The sequence below is a fragment of the Homo sapiens genome, chromosome 2, assembly GCF_000001405.40.
Source record: "Homo sapiens chromosome 2, GRCh38.p14 Primary Assembly".
NCBI classification, from domain to species: domain Eukaryota; kingdom Metazoa; phylum Chordata; class Mammalia; order Primates; family Hominidae; genus Homo; species Homo sapiens.
Genome location: NC_000002.12, coordinates 193,979,957 through 193,996,100, shown reverse-complemented (window position 1 = coordinate 193,996,100; position 16,144 = coordinate 193,979,957). Strand labels below are relative to the sequence as shown.

The 16,144-nt window shown below is 32.5% G+C and overlaps 1 annotated feature.

The window, feature by feature from the left end:
- Window positions 15,055-15,602: an enhancer, noted in NCBI's record as "OCT4-NANOG hESC enhancer chr2:194845223-194845770 (GRCh37/hg19 assembly coordinates)". NCBI's record gives its function as "activates a minimal SCP1, AML or CMV promoter by ChIP-STARR-seq in naive H9 embryonic stem cells {active_cell/tissue: H9 hESC(naive)}" and the evidence as "EXISTENCE:reporter gene assay evidence [ECO:0000049][PMID:30033119]".

The following is a 16,144-nucleotide window of genomic DNA, read 5'->3' as shown; positions in this document are numbered from 1 at the left end:
TAACACAAGAAACAGCCTGTCTTTTGAAGCTTTAAAGCAAGGCATTGACTTTTTCTCTCTAGCTATGGAAGTCTTAGATGGCATCTTTTTCCATTAGAATGTTTTATCTACATTGAAAAGCAGCTGTTTTGTGTAGTTACCATCTTTAATGACCTTAGTTACATCTTTTGGATTGTTTGCTGCAGCTTCTACATCAGCACTTGCTACTTCACCTTGCAGTATTTTTTATTATGGAGATGGATTTCTTCCTTCAATGTCATGAATCAAGCTGTGCTAGTTTCAAACTTTTCTTCTGTAGTTTCCTCACCTCTCTAAGCCTTCATAGAATTGAAGACAGTTAGAGCCTTGCTCTGGACTGGGCTTTGACTTAAGGGAATGTGGCTGTTTTGATCTTATATTTAGACCACTAAAACTTTCTCCATATCAGCAACAGGGCTTTTTTAAAAAAATTCTTATCATTTGTGTATTCACTGGAGTAGCGTTTTAAATTTTCTTCAAGAACTCTTCCTTTGCATTCACACTTGGCTGTTCATCACACGAGGTTTAGCTTTCAGCTTATCTAGGCTTTTGGCATTCCTTCCTGACTAAACTTAATCATTTCTAGCTTTTGATTCATAATAAGAGGTCTGTGACTCTTTTTCTACTTTTTTTCACTCTTTTTTTCACCTAGAGAGGCCATTGTAGGGTTATTAATTGGCCTGATTTCAATATTGTTGTGTCTTTGGGAATAGGGAGGTCTAAAGAGAGGGAGGGAAACGGGAACACCTGATCAGTGGAGTAGTCAGAACAGGCACATCTATTAATTAAGTTTGCCATCTTATATGGCATGGTCTGTGGTGCTTCCAAAGAATTTACAATAGTAATTTCAAAGATTACTAATCAGAGATCACCATAACAGATAAAATAGTAATGATAAAGTTTGAAATGTGAGAATTCCCAAAATGTGACACAGAGACAAAAAATGAGCACATCTTGCATATCTTGTTTAAAAAAAATACTGTCGATACTCTTGCTGGCTGCAGAGTTGCCACAAGTCTTCAATTCATAAAAAGAAAAAAAAAACAGTATTTGCAAAGTGCAATAAAGTGAAGCACAATAAAGGTATGCCTGTATTTATTTCATTAGTTTTTGGGGGCTTTGTAGGGTTTAACTAATGCAAATTGTCAAGAAAAATGTATGGCTAATAAATAATAGAAAGAAAACAAACGTTTTCATTAATTGTGTGCATGTGGTACAATTATATGTCTGAAAAATCTAAATGAATGAAATATACGTTAAAATTTGGAACAATAAATACAAAACTAACATAGAAAATATAAAAATTATAAAGTAATTCTTTAGCAAGTACAATTCATGTAACCAAGAATAAATTTAATCAAAATAAAATGAAAAGGATATATAGGAAGATCAATATTATATTTAATGTAAAAGACATAAATAAGATGTTAAAGAAAGAGAGGAGAACATATATAGAAGGGTAACATCCCTTGGAATATTGGTTCATATTATAGAGTGGTCAATTTTACCCAAATTGATCTTGACAAAGTTGATAGAGTATTTGTTTTTTTGTTTTTGTTTTTGTTTTTTGAAATGGAGTCTCACTCTGTCACCCAGGCTGGGGTGCAGTGGCACGATCTCAGCTCACTGCAACCTCCACCTCCCGGGTTCAAGTGATTCTCCTGCCTCAGCCTCCAGAGTAGCTGAGATCACAGGCACATGCTGCCACACCCAGCTAAGTTTCATATTTTTAGTAGAGACAGGGCTTCACCATGTTGGCCAGGCTAGTCTCAAACTCCTGACTTCAGGTGATCCACCCGCCTCAGCCTCCCTAAGAGCTAAAAATATTCGAATAACAACTGAAAGAAGATAGCGAGAAATGAATTAAAAATAAAAAGCAATGTGAAGCCACCCACTTCACAGTATTAAAAAACATGATAAAGCCTGGCAATAAAATTATACTCAGTGGAGCAATCACGACAAATAAGTGCATGTGTGTGTGCATGTAAATGTTCATGGATATTTTGTTTGTAATGTTATTGTAATAGAAAGATAGGAATTCAATGAGTAACTTCCAAAATTAGTTAACCTTGTTAAAATAAATTACAGATATATCAGTTATTTAAATATAAAGAAACAGAAGTAGATAAGAATTAATATTTATATAAGCGTGTCGCAGCAAAGGTCTTTCAAAGCAAGACACCAAATCAGAAAACACTGGTGCATTTACTTTATAATATAAACATCCCTTTATAACTAAAACAATATCAACATTTAAGAAAGTAAATTCCAAAATAAAGAATAAACTATTAATTTCTGAAGTAGCTTATTGTAAAATTTTAATATAAATTCGATATTAATTAATATTGATATTAATTAATTAATATTGATATTAATTAATTAATATTAATTAGTTAATATAATTAAATATTGATTATAAATTTGATATTAGGAAATATCAAAATACTTATTAAAACATTAGTAAAGGAAATAAATAGGCAATTCAATGGAATATGATTGTACAGTTATTTTAATGTAAAATTTTATTGTAAATAAAATGCATATTTATACATGTAAATTTATTTCATTCATGCAATCCACAAATGTTCAACTATGCCAATGCTGGGAGTTGGCAGTGGCATGGGAAACAGACAATTTTGTGTACTGCTGCAAGGAGTGTGCATCTGTTCAAACTTTCTGGAGGACAGTTTGGCATGACTAAATACTCTCTTACCTGACATGATGTCGATCACTAATCAGCAGGTTAATTGAGCAAGTATTTGACTTTCCTATTTTAACAGTTTTATTTTAAGCAAAAGCACAAGCTATGTTTATAAGACAGCTCAGATGTAGGAACAACACTGTTTCTTCATGTAAGGGTTCCTTGAATATACAGAACAGATTGCAGCCTACTCTTGCTGATTTGTTTCTTCTCTCTCTTCTTCTTCACATGAAAATGATACTTCTGTATGTAGGCTGCAAATTCTAATACCAAAGCCTTAAAAGTGTGCTAAAGCAGCTTTCAAAAAATCTCAGGGATGCTTTTCAAATTCCTGTGATTCTTTATAGATGATATGCCTACCAATAATTAAATACGTTTCTATTGATTATTTGAATTTACCATGTTTTTGAATTATTCAACAATATTATCAAAGATATATCTTTCACACTTATTTCATTAGCTTGGTTAGTTTTAATTAAATTGTGTAGTTATAAAAACATGTATAAATGAAATAACTGGTTTGGACACAAATGCGATTAACTCCATACCAAAAATGTAAGTACACATGCAGATGAAAGGGTAGCTCATTAGCTGCAAATATTCAGTTTGAGCATTAGTCTGTACTTATTTCAAGATAATTGAAAGCAGTAACCTGTCAAGTTAGTTAAAAGTCACTTAGAAGGCTTTCTACTGTATGTATAATAACCTTTAAAATGTTATTTATATTAACAGCATTAGATAACAGAAGCAGATTTATAAGCTTACAGAGAATAATACATAAAAGAATAATAAAATAAATGAGAGAATTTCATAATTAATACATTTCACTTTCTTTCTGGAATATAATGCAACCATATTAATCAACATTATGCACAATATATTGAAATGTGTAGATCACAATTTATCTCTGAAATTAGAATTATTCGTGATTATTACCTTGTGTTTTCCTTATCATACTTGCTCTAAAATATTAATACATGAACATGAATTACTGTTATACTCCTGCAATTAAAAACAATAAAACACTTGTTTTCTATAAAATAAGTTTACAAAAGTATAGAAAAATATGTCTGTTATTGCCTGTGCTCATTTTCTCTGTTGAACTATTTTTGTGTCTTTCTACAGAATAAGCATACATCAAAGGTTCCAAAATTGACATTTGACTTTTCTCACTAAGTAGTGAAAATTAATGATAATAGAATAGCTTAATGAAAAGAAATGTAAGAACTTATCTGAGACTCGTCAGGAAAGGATAGCTGCTGGGCATTCATCGTGGACCTTACAGGGTAGCATTGCTGACATGAATCCACTAATAAAGAAGCTTCTCAATTTAACTGTTAAGCAAAACAAAACTAAATTCATTATTCCATGGCAGAATTACATTAAACAACATCCCAGAGGTTGAAATGTAAATCAGAAAGGCAACTTCTCATTTTTCAATAAGATATATCGCCACCGATTAAGAGGAATAATAAAGTCAGCTTCACTTATTCTTTCTCTAAGTGGACATTCCTGGGAAGTCAAGTTATAATTAGAAGATTAAAACATAGAAAGAAAAAATATATAGTAATATATCTTTGTAACTATAAATGGAATTATATTCAAATGTATTGATACATCAACATCTTCAAGAGATATGTCCTTGTAGATTGTTTTACCATATTTTTATATTCCTGGAGAATTCCTTGATAGGCTCTGCTAACGTGTACTTTTACAATCTTTACTTTTCTGTGCTTCTACAGTTTATTTACCACAACTCTAAATAATGTATTATATAATTACCTTTAGTAGATAATATATTATATAATTACCTTTAGTAGAATTTTATCTAAACTAAAATACATTCAATGAGGTTTGCATATCCTGTTATTTTGTTTAGTTAATTGATTGATGTCTTGTCTTGTACTGGAAAACAATTAAGGATAGTGTTTTATATAGATTTTAAATATGGATATTATTGCTTAACATTCAGAATTACTTCTCTATTCATTATTGCCAACTTTCTGGAAATGAGCGGTTATTTTGCATTTATTTAAACCAACAATGAGGTGCTAAATGAAAAGAAAGAATTTTCTTAAAACATCATGTAGAAGTTGCAAGTAACAAACTCCATCTATTGTGTAAAATAATTATTGTTAGTGACAATTATGGTTCAAATTCTCCTGAAAAGTTACTTCTTTAGAGTTTAGTTATTCTAGTTGGTAGAAAGAGCTACAGAGCCTCCATCATCTGCACATATCGCTATTAGTTTGGTGCAAAAGTCATTGCTGTTTTTTGCCATTGAAAGTAATGGCAAAAACCGCAATGACTTTTGCACCAAACTAATAGACATTTGTACAATTCAAACCCCTTTCAAATGTAGCCAATAACATATTTTAACACCTTTTTACATAATGATATCTAAATGCTCTAAATATTTGGCCCCGAAAATAAAATTTATGCTTCCTTCTAAAAACCAAACCAAATTTTCTGCTGGAGTTGAAGGATATGGTACCCGCTCACATGCTGTAACTGAAGATCTTTGCATCTTTGCCTTGTGAGAGCCATGATCCTATCACATAATCACTATAGGAAAAACAGAAACGAATCCTATAAATTAGGATTATTGAAAAATAAAAGTAAAAGCAGGTCCCACACATGACATGATATACAGGAATATTCACTATCATGCAGACTTCTGCCAACGGAACATCACATGTTTTCCTCTCCTAACATGAACTAAATCACATACTACCCATATGCCATCATGTTTTATGTTCTGGCTGTTCAGTTCAATAAAGATCTTGAAAACCCACCTATCTGTAGTAAACCACATGGGCTCCTATACCATTTACTTAAGTACTATAAAAATACAGCATGATCATTCTGAATTATATTTATGAACCTACCCTAACCAATGCAGAATTGGACATTTTAAATATATTATGTATTATATATTATGTAATATCTTGCTAATGACCCTAAAATATCATGCTGAATAGTTCTCTGTGGGTTATATAGCAATTTAGAAAGATGATATAAAAATATTTGTGAATATTCAATACTTATTCCATTTATTTATTGTTCCGAGAATTTATCTTTTACCTCAGAGGAAACTTAGGCTCAATTTCTTCTTTCATGTTAATGGAAACTTTTGTCAATCTTCAACATCACAATACCCTTATTTTCCTTTTCCACCTTTCAGTTTAATAGTTAATTTTCAGGCAAGAAATTGCACGCTGATGTAAGACAAAATATAAGAATGTTGTTTCTATGAATATCATTATTTAAACAAGTAATGCGAAGCATAGCAAATATTTAGATTAGTCACATTAGTCCATTTTTCTCCAAATCTTTCATATTTTTTCTCCTGAATACTCCTCCCCAAATAAATTTAAAAATTTGCCTCTGATATTTTTAAGCAAACATTAGTCACAAAATTCCATTGCTATATCTTGGAATTACTGCACACTACAACTTAATGTTTAATTACCCATGCAATAAACCAAAGCTTCTTGTATTCACTTGGGCCACCATAACAAAATACCATAAACTGGATGACGTAAGCAAGACATTTTTTTCTCACAATTCGGGAGGCTAGAAGTCCAAGATTAGAGTACCAGCATGATCATGTTCTGTGAGGGATCCATTCCATCCATATCTAGATTGCAGACTGCTGCCTTCTCTCTGTGTCTTCATATGGTGGAGAGAGAGAGCTCTGATATCCTTTTTCACTTCTTATAAGGGCACCAGTTCTATTTGTTCAGGGCTCCACACTTATGAACTCAGTTATCTGTAATGACATCCTTAAAGGCCTTATCTCTAATATCAGATAGGTTGTCAGTACTTCAACATATGAATTTTAAGGAGACACAAGTTAATTAATAGCACTTTGTTTCAGCCTCTTAAAATGTGTGTTCTTCTCACATGCAAAATACTTTCATTCTATCCCAACAGCCCCACAGTCTTAACCCATTCCAGCACCCACTCTAAAGTCCAAGTCTAAAGTCTCATCTAAATTTGTATGATCTAAATCAGATATGGGTGACATTCAGGGTATGATTCATCCTAAGGCACAATTCAATTCCTCTCCAGATATGAATATGTGAAAAAAGACAAGTTATGGATTTCCAAAATATAATGATGGGACAGGAATAGGATAGATATTCCTATTTCAAAAGGGAGAAATAGAAAAGAAATAAGACATTATGTGTTTCAATCAAGTTCAAAACCTAGCAAGGCAAATTTTATTAGATCTTAAGTTTCGAGGAGGATAGCCATCTTTGTCTCAATGTCTTACCCTCCAGGCCCACTAATGCAGCAGTCCCACCTTCTGGACCCATTGTCATGGTGATCCTGGCCCCATAGCTCTGCAGGGTGAAGGTTGAGACTCTGAGGCTCTGCTGGGTAGTCCTACTCCTCACAGCTCTGCAGGGGAATTCTGCCTCAAGGCTTTAGGTGAATACCATTGGCCTGTTGACACTGAGGCAGTAGCCCCACTCATTGAAATCAAGGAGACAGTTCTGATGATCTCAGAATCACCTTTGGGGTCATAGTTCACTTATCAAAAAATAGCACATGTTTGCAGCCAAGTCACTCTATGGTCCTGTCTTGTAGAAGCCAAGAAGTCTGCCAGTCTTCCTTCATTCCAGCTCACTTTCTCTTTCTCCTTTACTTCAAACTGGCAGTGTCTGTGCTGATATAATCCCATCTCTATTCCTGGCTTTCAGTGACACGCTGTTTATGTTCCTGAGTCACTCTCATGATCTCTTTATAAAATGGTTGCTCAGCCACGTCCTTAGTGTTCTCTTTAGAACAAGCTTTCTCATTTTTTGCAAGGTAGGTATGCTGAGAATTTTTCATATCTCCAAGTCCTAGTTTCTTTTTGCTTAATAATTAATTATCCAATCAATTGCCCTCTTCTTGCATTTTACTGTAAGCTGTCAGAAGGAACAAAGCCACTCCCTCAATAATTTGTTTAGAGATCTCCTCAGCTATATATCCAATTTCATCTCTAACAAGTTCTACCTTCCACAAAACATTAAAGAACAAGTCAGTCAAGTCCTTTGCCCCTTTATTACAAAGATTGCTTTTCCTTGTTTCCAATAACATGTTTCTCATTTCTGTCTGAAACCTGACGAGAATGTCCCTTAATGTCCATAGGTCACTCATATTCAATTCATGATTATTTACATATTCTTTAAGAAGCTGTCTCTCCAACCCTTGTCTTTTCTTTCTGAACCCTCATAAGAATGTCCTTTAAAGTCCATATTTCTAGAATGCACTTCAAAAATTCTTCCAGCCTTTACCCATCATTCAATTCCAAAACTGCTACCACATTTAAGTATTTGTTACAACAGCACCCCACTTCTTCTTACTAAAATCTGTCTTAGTCTGCTCAGGCTACCATAACAAAATTCCATAAAGTGGGTAGCTAAAAACAACACAAATTTATTTTCTCTCCCCCAGTTTTGGAGGCTGGAAATCTTAGATCAGGGTGCTAATATGGCTGGGTCCTTGTGAGTACACTCTTCCTTGCTTGCTGATGACAAAAACTCATGAATTTTACTGGAAAGATTCCCAAGCAGAATATACAAAGTTTAAATGCTTATTCTAACTTCCTATGTTAAAATATGAGACACAAGATATTTGCTAAGGGAAGAATTGTCAGTTTTTAGCAGAGCTTACAGGAAATATAAAAGAGCCAGAATTTTCTAGATTAAAATAAAACTGTTTCTAAGACCCAGTCCCTCTAGATGGCAAAAGATTGTAAAATAAGAAATACACTCAAGGCAAACATAAAATCCAGGACACATTTTATATAGTATGGGGCTAGATAAATATTTCAAGGATACAGTTTCAAGATTCTTTGTTGCCATCTCAGATAAATATTAAGGAAATGCCCATTAGAACTGTAAAGATTCTTATTGTCATTGTTCCACAGTATGTGACTCAGTCAAAGCAGATATATATATATATATATATATATATATATATATATATATATATATATACATATGTTTTCAGAAACATTATTTGGTTTGAAAGACTGATTAATGAAAATCACCCTCAATTCCTCAACCTTTAAAATTTTAATATACAGGAAATAGGCTGAGAAAATACTCAGACCATCTGCAAACACAGACCATCTTTATGGAAAAGAAAAGATAATTCAGGGACTGTAGCCAAGACCCCATAATATGAAGTTACAAGCAATAACGAACTACATCCATAAAGTAGAATAAGCCCCTAATCAAGGAACCAGCATTGTGTACTCTGGTGAATTTCAGAATTGATATGGATCAATTATTGTTCTCTTCTTCCTATATCCCCCTGTTCATGACAGTAGTGCCTCTCTATGTTCATTCATTGTGTGCTGTGTATGTCAGTAGCAAATATCTTGTCTATTTACATCATAAGTTTTCTAAAGGACAGATGTTGTACTTGATGAACCCCAGTCAAGAAGATTCATCTGCACCTAGACCTGATTTAGAAGGTGAGAATCTGGAATTTGAGTCAACCTCCTAAAAACGTGAGACTTCAGGAGTCTTTGAAGAGTGTCTTAATCAGCTTGGGTTGCCATAACAATATAAAATGGGGTGGATGTAACAACGAAAATGTATATTTCATAGTACTGCTAGAAGTATTAGCTTAGGCTGCCAGCATGGTATGTTTATGGTGAGGGACCTCTTCCTGGATTGCAGATGGCAGGCTTCTCACTGTGTTCTTATATGGTGGAGACAGCAAGCTCTTGTGTTTCTTCTTCTAATAAGAATAATAATTATTCCATCATGAAAACCCCACCCTCATGACCACATCTATTTCCCAAGGACCTCTTTTCCAAATACAACCACACTGGAGGTTGAGGCTTCAACCTATGAATTGGGGAGAGACACAATTCAGTCCATAGTAAAGGGGGTGAGTATATTTTATATGTGGAAAAATGTAAATGTTTTGTGACTAGATATTGGACTGTGGTAGATTAAAAATGTCCACAAATTCTTTGATACTTCTTCATAAAAAATTAAGGTCTATTTTCCCTTCTTTTATTACTACTTTGAATAAATATATTCCAGATCTAGTCCTTTAGAGGACTACAAACTCTTTCTTTTTACTTTAGAGTTCTGAGCCACCAGATAATTCAGACTATCCTGCTGGAAAGGACATTTGATGAGGCAATGATACTACCAGGAGATGGAAAGGAGCTTAGCTGAGCCTAGCCTTCCAGAACTCCCAGCATGAATCAAACATGAGTGATGCTATCTTAGACTCTTTACCCAACTGACAGCTGAAATCTACTGTGTGACCCTGTAGCTACCATATACAGGAAAATAGATCTGGTGAGACTTGTCTGAATTACTCACCTACAACAATACTAGATGTAGTGAAATCATTATTATTTTAATCCATCACATCTTTGGGTTGTTGGTTAAGAAGCAGAAGATAACCAACACAAAGCCGATACTACCACACTTCTTGTATTCCCATAGTTTACAGCAGACATTTTCTTTAGAGATTCAAGTGGGTCTGAACCAACAAAGAAACACATATTGGTTTAATTATCAAATTAAGTAAGATGCGTAGGAGAGGGGTCACATTTTTTTCTTTCTATAATTGAGTCATAAATTGTAGAGAGCCTGAAGAATCCCTTTTATTTTATTATTTCATTTTATTATACTTTCATATGGTCTACATTGTATTAACTACATTTCTAAATTCACACATAAAATTATCTATAAGTATACATTAGTTTCACTTATTTGCTATGTTTGGTGTTGATTTTCATTTCCAGTCTGAAATTGAGAATGCTGATTTAACAACCTGCCCATATATAAAAAAAAATTGTTCTATATGATAGAACCTGCTGGGAACAATTTCTTGGATCGCATCACGAATGTTGTCAATGATGAAATGTGGAGACTGTGACAGATGGAACACACAATCACTAAAAGGCATTCTTACAATTTAAAATTGCATGTTTGCACTCCAATCCTACTATTAGATGAGAAAGTGAAGATTTTTGCTTCTGGATCTTGAGTATAACACATCACTTAATTCTATGTTGTTGATTATTTTTAAGAATCTATGCCCACACAAAAGCATTGTATTCAACATATTTTTAAAAGGTACTATTATTTGTCTTTATGACTCCATCTGGTTTAATAAGAACTGTAATGACAATACCTGTAGAGAACATTCGAGGAAGTGAAAATATCAGCCTGGCTTCCAGCATTTCCCATGGATATGTCATGCAAAGCAGATGGCCTGAAGTCATTTGATATTATTTACTATCCTTATTAAAATTTGTATGAAATTTCACCAGCAATTTAGTCTATCATGTTAAAATATGTATATTTATTTAATCATAATGAACCAAATCTTTCACTTAAGCATTTCCCAACTTCTTCCATATATTGCTTACAGATGTCAGAAGAACAACTGAATTTAAGAAATCCTGGTTAAAAAATAAACCATAATTTTAACCTCAGATTTCTCATAGATGATATTAGGCTACTAATCATCTAATCATTGTGAATTTCCCAAGGGGCTATAAAATAACAGTGTATTCCAAGGTTATTGGATCTTGGGGCAACTAATTCATGCAACATCTTTTGCAACTAGAATCTTTGAGTGTTGACATTCATTTAAAATTTCCTGTAATTATTGAAAATAATTATAATCAAAGCTATAAAATATAGGATGAATCAATGTTAGGAGAATCCCAAATTCTAGAACCAAATTATAATCTATAGTGAGAAAAACTTGGCAGTCTTCCACACTCCATGCCATCTAAAAGTGCTATGCTACATATGACATATGCTCCTCTTGGAAAGGGAAAGAATAAGGAGGAATGGCTTTATTTGTGAGCTACTTCACCTGGCCATCGGTTCATGATTGGCTTTTCTTTTCTACCTCAGGACACTTTATATTATGGACACAGCAAGTTGCTGCACAGGGAAAATGTTACAATAACCCAAAAATGAGCAGTGAATTGCCCTCAAGTGGAGAGTCTCAGCAGAGTAGCTGCCAGATGTCAGGCTCACTGCAGTTAAACTGTGGGAACTTCTATATTTCCACATTTGTAATTTGTGGTTCCAATACACGTGGAGTTCTATTTCCACATACTGCACAAGAAATCATTTGTACCAAACATAATCTCATGAATGGGGTTGATATTCTTCAGGAGTATTTTTATAGTTACTTGATAATAGAATTTTCAATATGAAAAGGAAAAGCTTTTTAAAAATTAATACCAAAATTTTAGATTATATAAAATAATGCTTTCTGTCCTCTTGAAATATGACCCCTTAACTCCATAGTTAGGTGTGATTTAGTGTTAGAAATAGATGCTTTTCCTTCACTTTTACTTGCTACACTCTTGCGATTTAAAATAAAACTTATTTAAAGGACATTTAATTCAAATAAAAAGAGATATTTTGGATATCATTGCCGAATCTCTTTTATTAGAAAAAGTATAGGTAGACAATAATCATTAATACAGTTTCTAAATTCTCAAAGAACCATTTGAGGGAACTACCCTAACATTTGGGGGTAATAACCTAAAATAGATTAAAGCCTGTTTTTATAAATGAATAAATAAGTTCTAAAAAAATTTGACCTCAAAAGCTTTGTATTCATTAGTTAAAAGGCAATGATAATAACTAATTTTAAAAAGCAGTATTCAATTGGAATATGCATTACCTATATGCAACAAAAACACATTCTAGACTCTAGAAATATAATCAAAAGTCTATATTCTGAAAGCTAGCAAAGATTTCTTTGTATTTTTTAAACAGCTTATGTTTTCCACAATTAAATAGAACAGCTTAGATACAACAAGCGAAGAGTTGTTAAACTCGTTATTTTGACTTTGCTTCTGTACCATTTGCTTCTATGACAACTAAAAAATGATTGAAAATAAGCTAAACTTTTGGGTCCTACAAGTAGCACATAGAAGCTTCTTTACTTAAAATAATCAGAAGCTGTGAAAATATGTCTGGGAGTATAATTTCACTACAATTTAATTGACCTGTTTTCACTATTAGACCCCCTATTTTGCAATGAAAAGCTCCTAATCCAGAGAATAAGGCATTTTGAATATAATCACGAGAAGGCGGATCATTTCTTTATTTTGGAAAATAAAAGATCACTTATAAATAGTCTGGACTAACAAGAATGATTTTCTTCTCAAACGTCAACAACAACAGGTAAGGCATAACTAAGTCAGTAAGTATTACAAACATTATGTTCAACATTCATTTACTTAGATTTTTTAATTATTATTAAAATATTTTGTTGTACTTTTGTTCCAGGGAAAGAGAAAGACAGTTAATATGTGAGGATCAACTAAGCTGAAGATTGGCAGGAGTGTGTCTCTCTCTGACTTTGAATTTGCACAGTCAGTCTCAGTGGCAACCAAACATCACCAGGGCCCTGCATTGCCATCTGCCATGCCTGTTTCCTTCTAGGCGTTAAACTTGGGTAACAGAAGTAAGGCAGATTTTTCATTTTACTTTGCATGACACTTTGGGCTCGAGTGAAGTGATTTCATAATAATTTAATATTTTAGTCTAAAAATAGACTATTAATTTTATCAAATAATATTAGCTGACACAATATATTTAAAGTAATTTACATTTTAGTGTAAATGTTATACACAATTCATTTAAATTTTTGTTTTTTTTAATAAATTAAGCCAGCAATCATTTACCATAAATAATATAAATATCACATAAGTATTTGAAAGAAAGGAAAATATCTACCCATAATTTTATTTTCCTTTCCTATAGACAAAAGACTTTATGATATTCATCAAAGGTATAAGGTTCATGGCAAGACTAGTGACTTAACCACAGAAGCATGATCCTTATTGATTGGTTCATTCATTCATTCATTCATTCTTTCATTCATGTGTCTATTTGTTCAGCCATTTGACTGATATTTATTTGCTACTTTCTAGATGCCAGAAAAAATTTTGGTACTGGACATAAAATGAATACAACCTGTTAAGCAAAAGAGATGTCCTTATGAAGTTTATCTGGCCATACTCTTCTAAAACATGAAAAAAATATATAGGAGCAAAGCCCACAGGGATGCCATAACTTCCATGGGAATGTTGAATAGAAGTGATGAGAAAAGAATTCTTACCTTGTTCTTAATCTTAGGAGGAACACATTCATTCTTTCATTATTAAGCCTGATAATTTCTGAAGATGTCTGTATGAGGTTAAATAAATCAATTTCTATTTTGTGAAGATTTGTATGTGGAATCGATGTATGATTCTTTTGATGCTTTTTCTGAATATATGTAGATGATAATATAATTAAAAATATTAATATGGTAAATTCCATTGATGGATTTTCATATGCTAAATGATCCCTTTATCCCTAGAAAGGCTTCATCAAAATATTTTATACTTTTTATATATTATTAAACTCAAAAATGCTAATTTTTAAATAAATTTTACACTATGTTTATGACTTGTGAAATATTCTTTTATTATAATAAATTTTCTGGTTTTACTATTAGGGTAAAACCTGCTTCTTAAAAGGAGTGGGGTAGAATTAATTCATTTTCAATTTTCTCAATCTTTTTTTAGTATAACTACTATTATTGCTTCTTGAAAAATTTGGTAGATTTTACCACTGAAGCAATCTGGGGCAGAAGATACCTTTGTCGGAAGGTTTTAAATAAATTTACTATATGACCTTTCAGGTTATTTATATCATCTTATGTAAATTTTAATAGGTTGTATCTTTCAAAGTACAGCATTTATCTATTTAACCTAAGTTGTCCAACTTTTAGGCATACAGTTGTTCATAATTTTATCTTATTATTCTTTTAATATATGTAGAGTTTTTAGTAATGTCACCTCCTAGCTCTTAACTGGTCTTGGCCACTTTTGCTCTTCCATTTTCATAGTTAGTCTGGTTGAAATTGTATCATTTTTACTGATTTTTTTTTCCCAAAGAGTCAGGTTTTATACACACTTTTGTTTTATATTTTGCTGTATTCTGCTTGGTTTATTATATTATTTCTTCCAATTATTTTCTGTTCCTGTTGTTTTCTACTTCTTTCTCCTTTTTTTAAAACACAGAAGCTGATATTATTGATTTGAGACTATTTTTTAAATTTTTTTGTAGGCATCTCAGACTATAATATCCCCCTAAGTAATGTTTCAATGCCATTTCAAAACTTCTGATATGTAGTATTTCTATTCAGTTCAAAATACTTCAGGTTTTTCCTTTTACTCATGGGTACCTAATTAAAGTTCATTATTTGATTTCCAAATATTTGTGGTTTTTCCAAAGACACCTTTGTTATTGGTTTCTAATGAATTTAGTTGGAGTCAGATAAAATATTTGTAAGAACTGAATCATTCAAATTTATTGAGATTTGTTTTATAACCCAGAATATTTTCTACCTTGATGATTGTTCCACCTGCAATTGATAACAATATATATTCTGTTGTTGTTAGGTGGAATGTTCAACGAATGTCAGCTTGATTAAATTGGTCAATAGTAATCTAATTGTTATGGAAACACCAGAGGTTCCGTCTAGGTCCTGCTGCTCACCGCGGAGAAAGCCAGTTACTGAGACAATGAGTATTGCCAAGAAAGAAGGCTTTAATTGGGTGTTGCAGCCAAGGAGATGGGAGATCAGTCTCAAATCAATCTCCCTGACCCACTAAAACTAGGGGTTTTAATCAGCAGGGAAGAAATGTAACAATGTGTAAGAAAACAGGAACCCAGGAGGCCTAAGGAAGCAATCATAATGAATGAGGGGTCTGGCATCTAATTGTCTGGAAGTGGTGATCTGGTGAATTTTAGTTCTTTGCCACTTTTTTTGAGAGGTATGAAGGTTGGTTGTTTTCTGAGAAAAGAACTCAGATAAAACAAATATAAATTTCAAACTTTAAGACCAGAAGGGTCAATTTCTACATTTGCAACAAAAGGTCTATGAGATATTTGGGTAGGTTTCATATTCAACTATGTTCCTGTTGATTTTCTGTCTGTTCTACCAATTATTGAAAGAGGTCTATTTAAATCTTTGGATATAATTATTAATTCCTCTAGTTCTTCTAGCAGTTCCATCATCTTTTCCTTTAAGTTATTTCAAATTCTCTTACTGAAGGCACACATATTTAAGATTTTTATGTCCTTTTGATAAATTAATCCTTTTATCCTTAAAAAATTATCATGTTTATTCCAGGTAATAGTCTTTGTTCTGATACCTATTTATTTACTTGAATAGCTTCTTCCTCTACTGAATTATTTTTGTCCATCTATCAAAATTTGTTAATCATATTTGTGTAGGTCTATTTTAGAGTTGTTCATTCCGTTTCTTAGATTAAGTTTGTCCTTCCATCAATACCACACTATCTTGATTAATGTAGCTACATTGTAAGCCTTAACATAATTTTAAGATAATTCCCCCCACAGTATT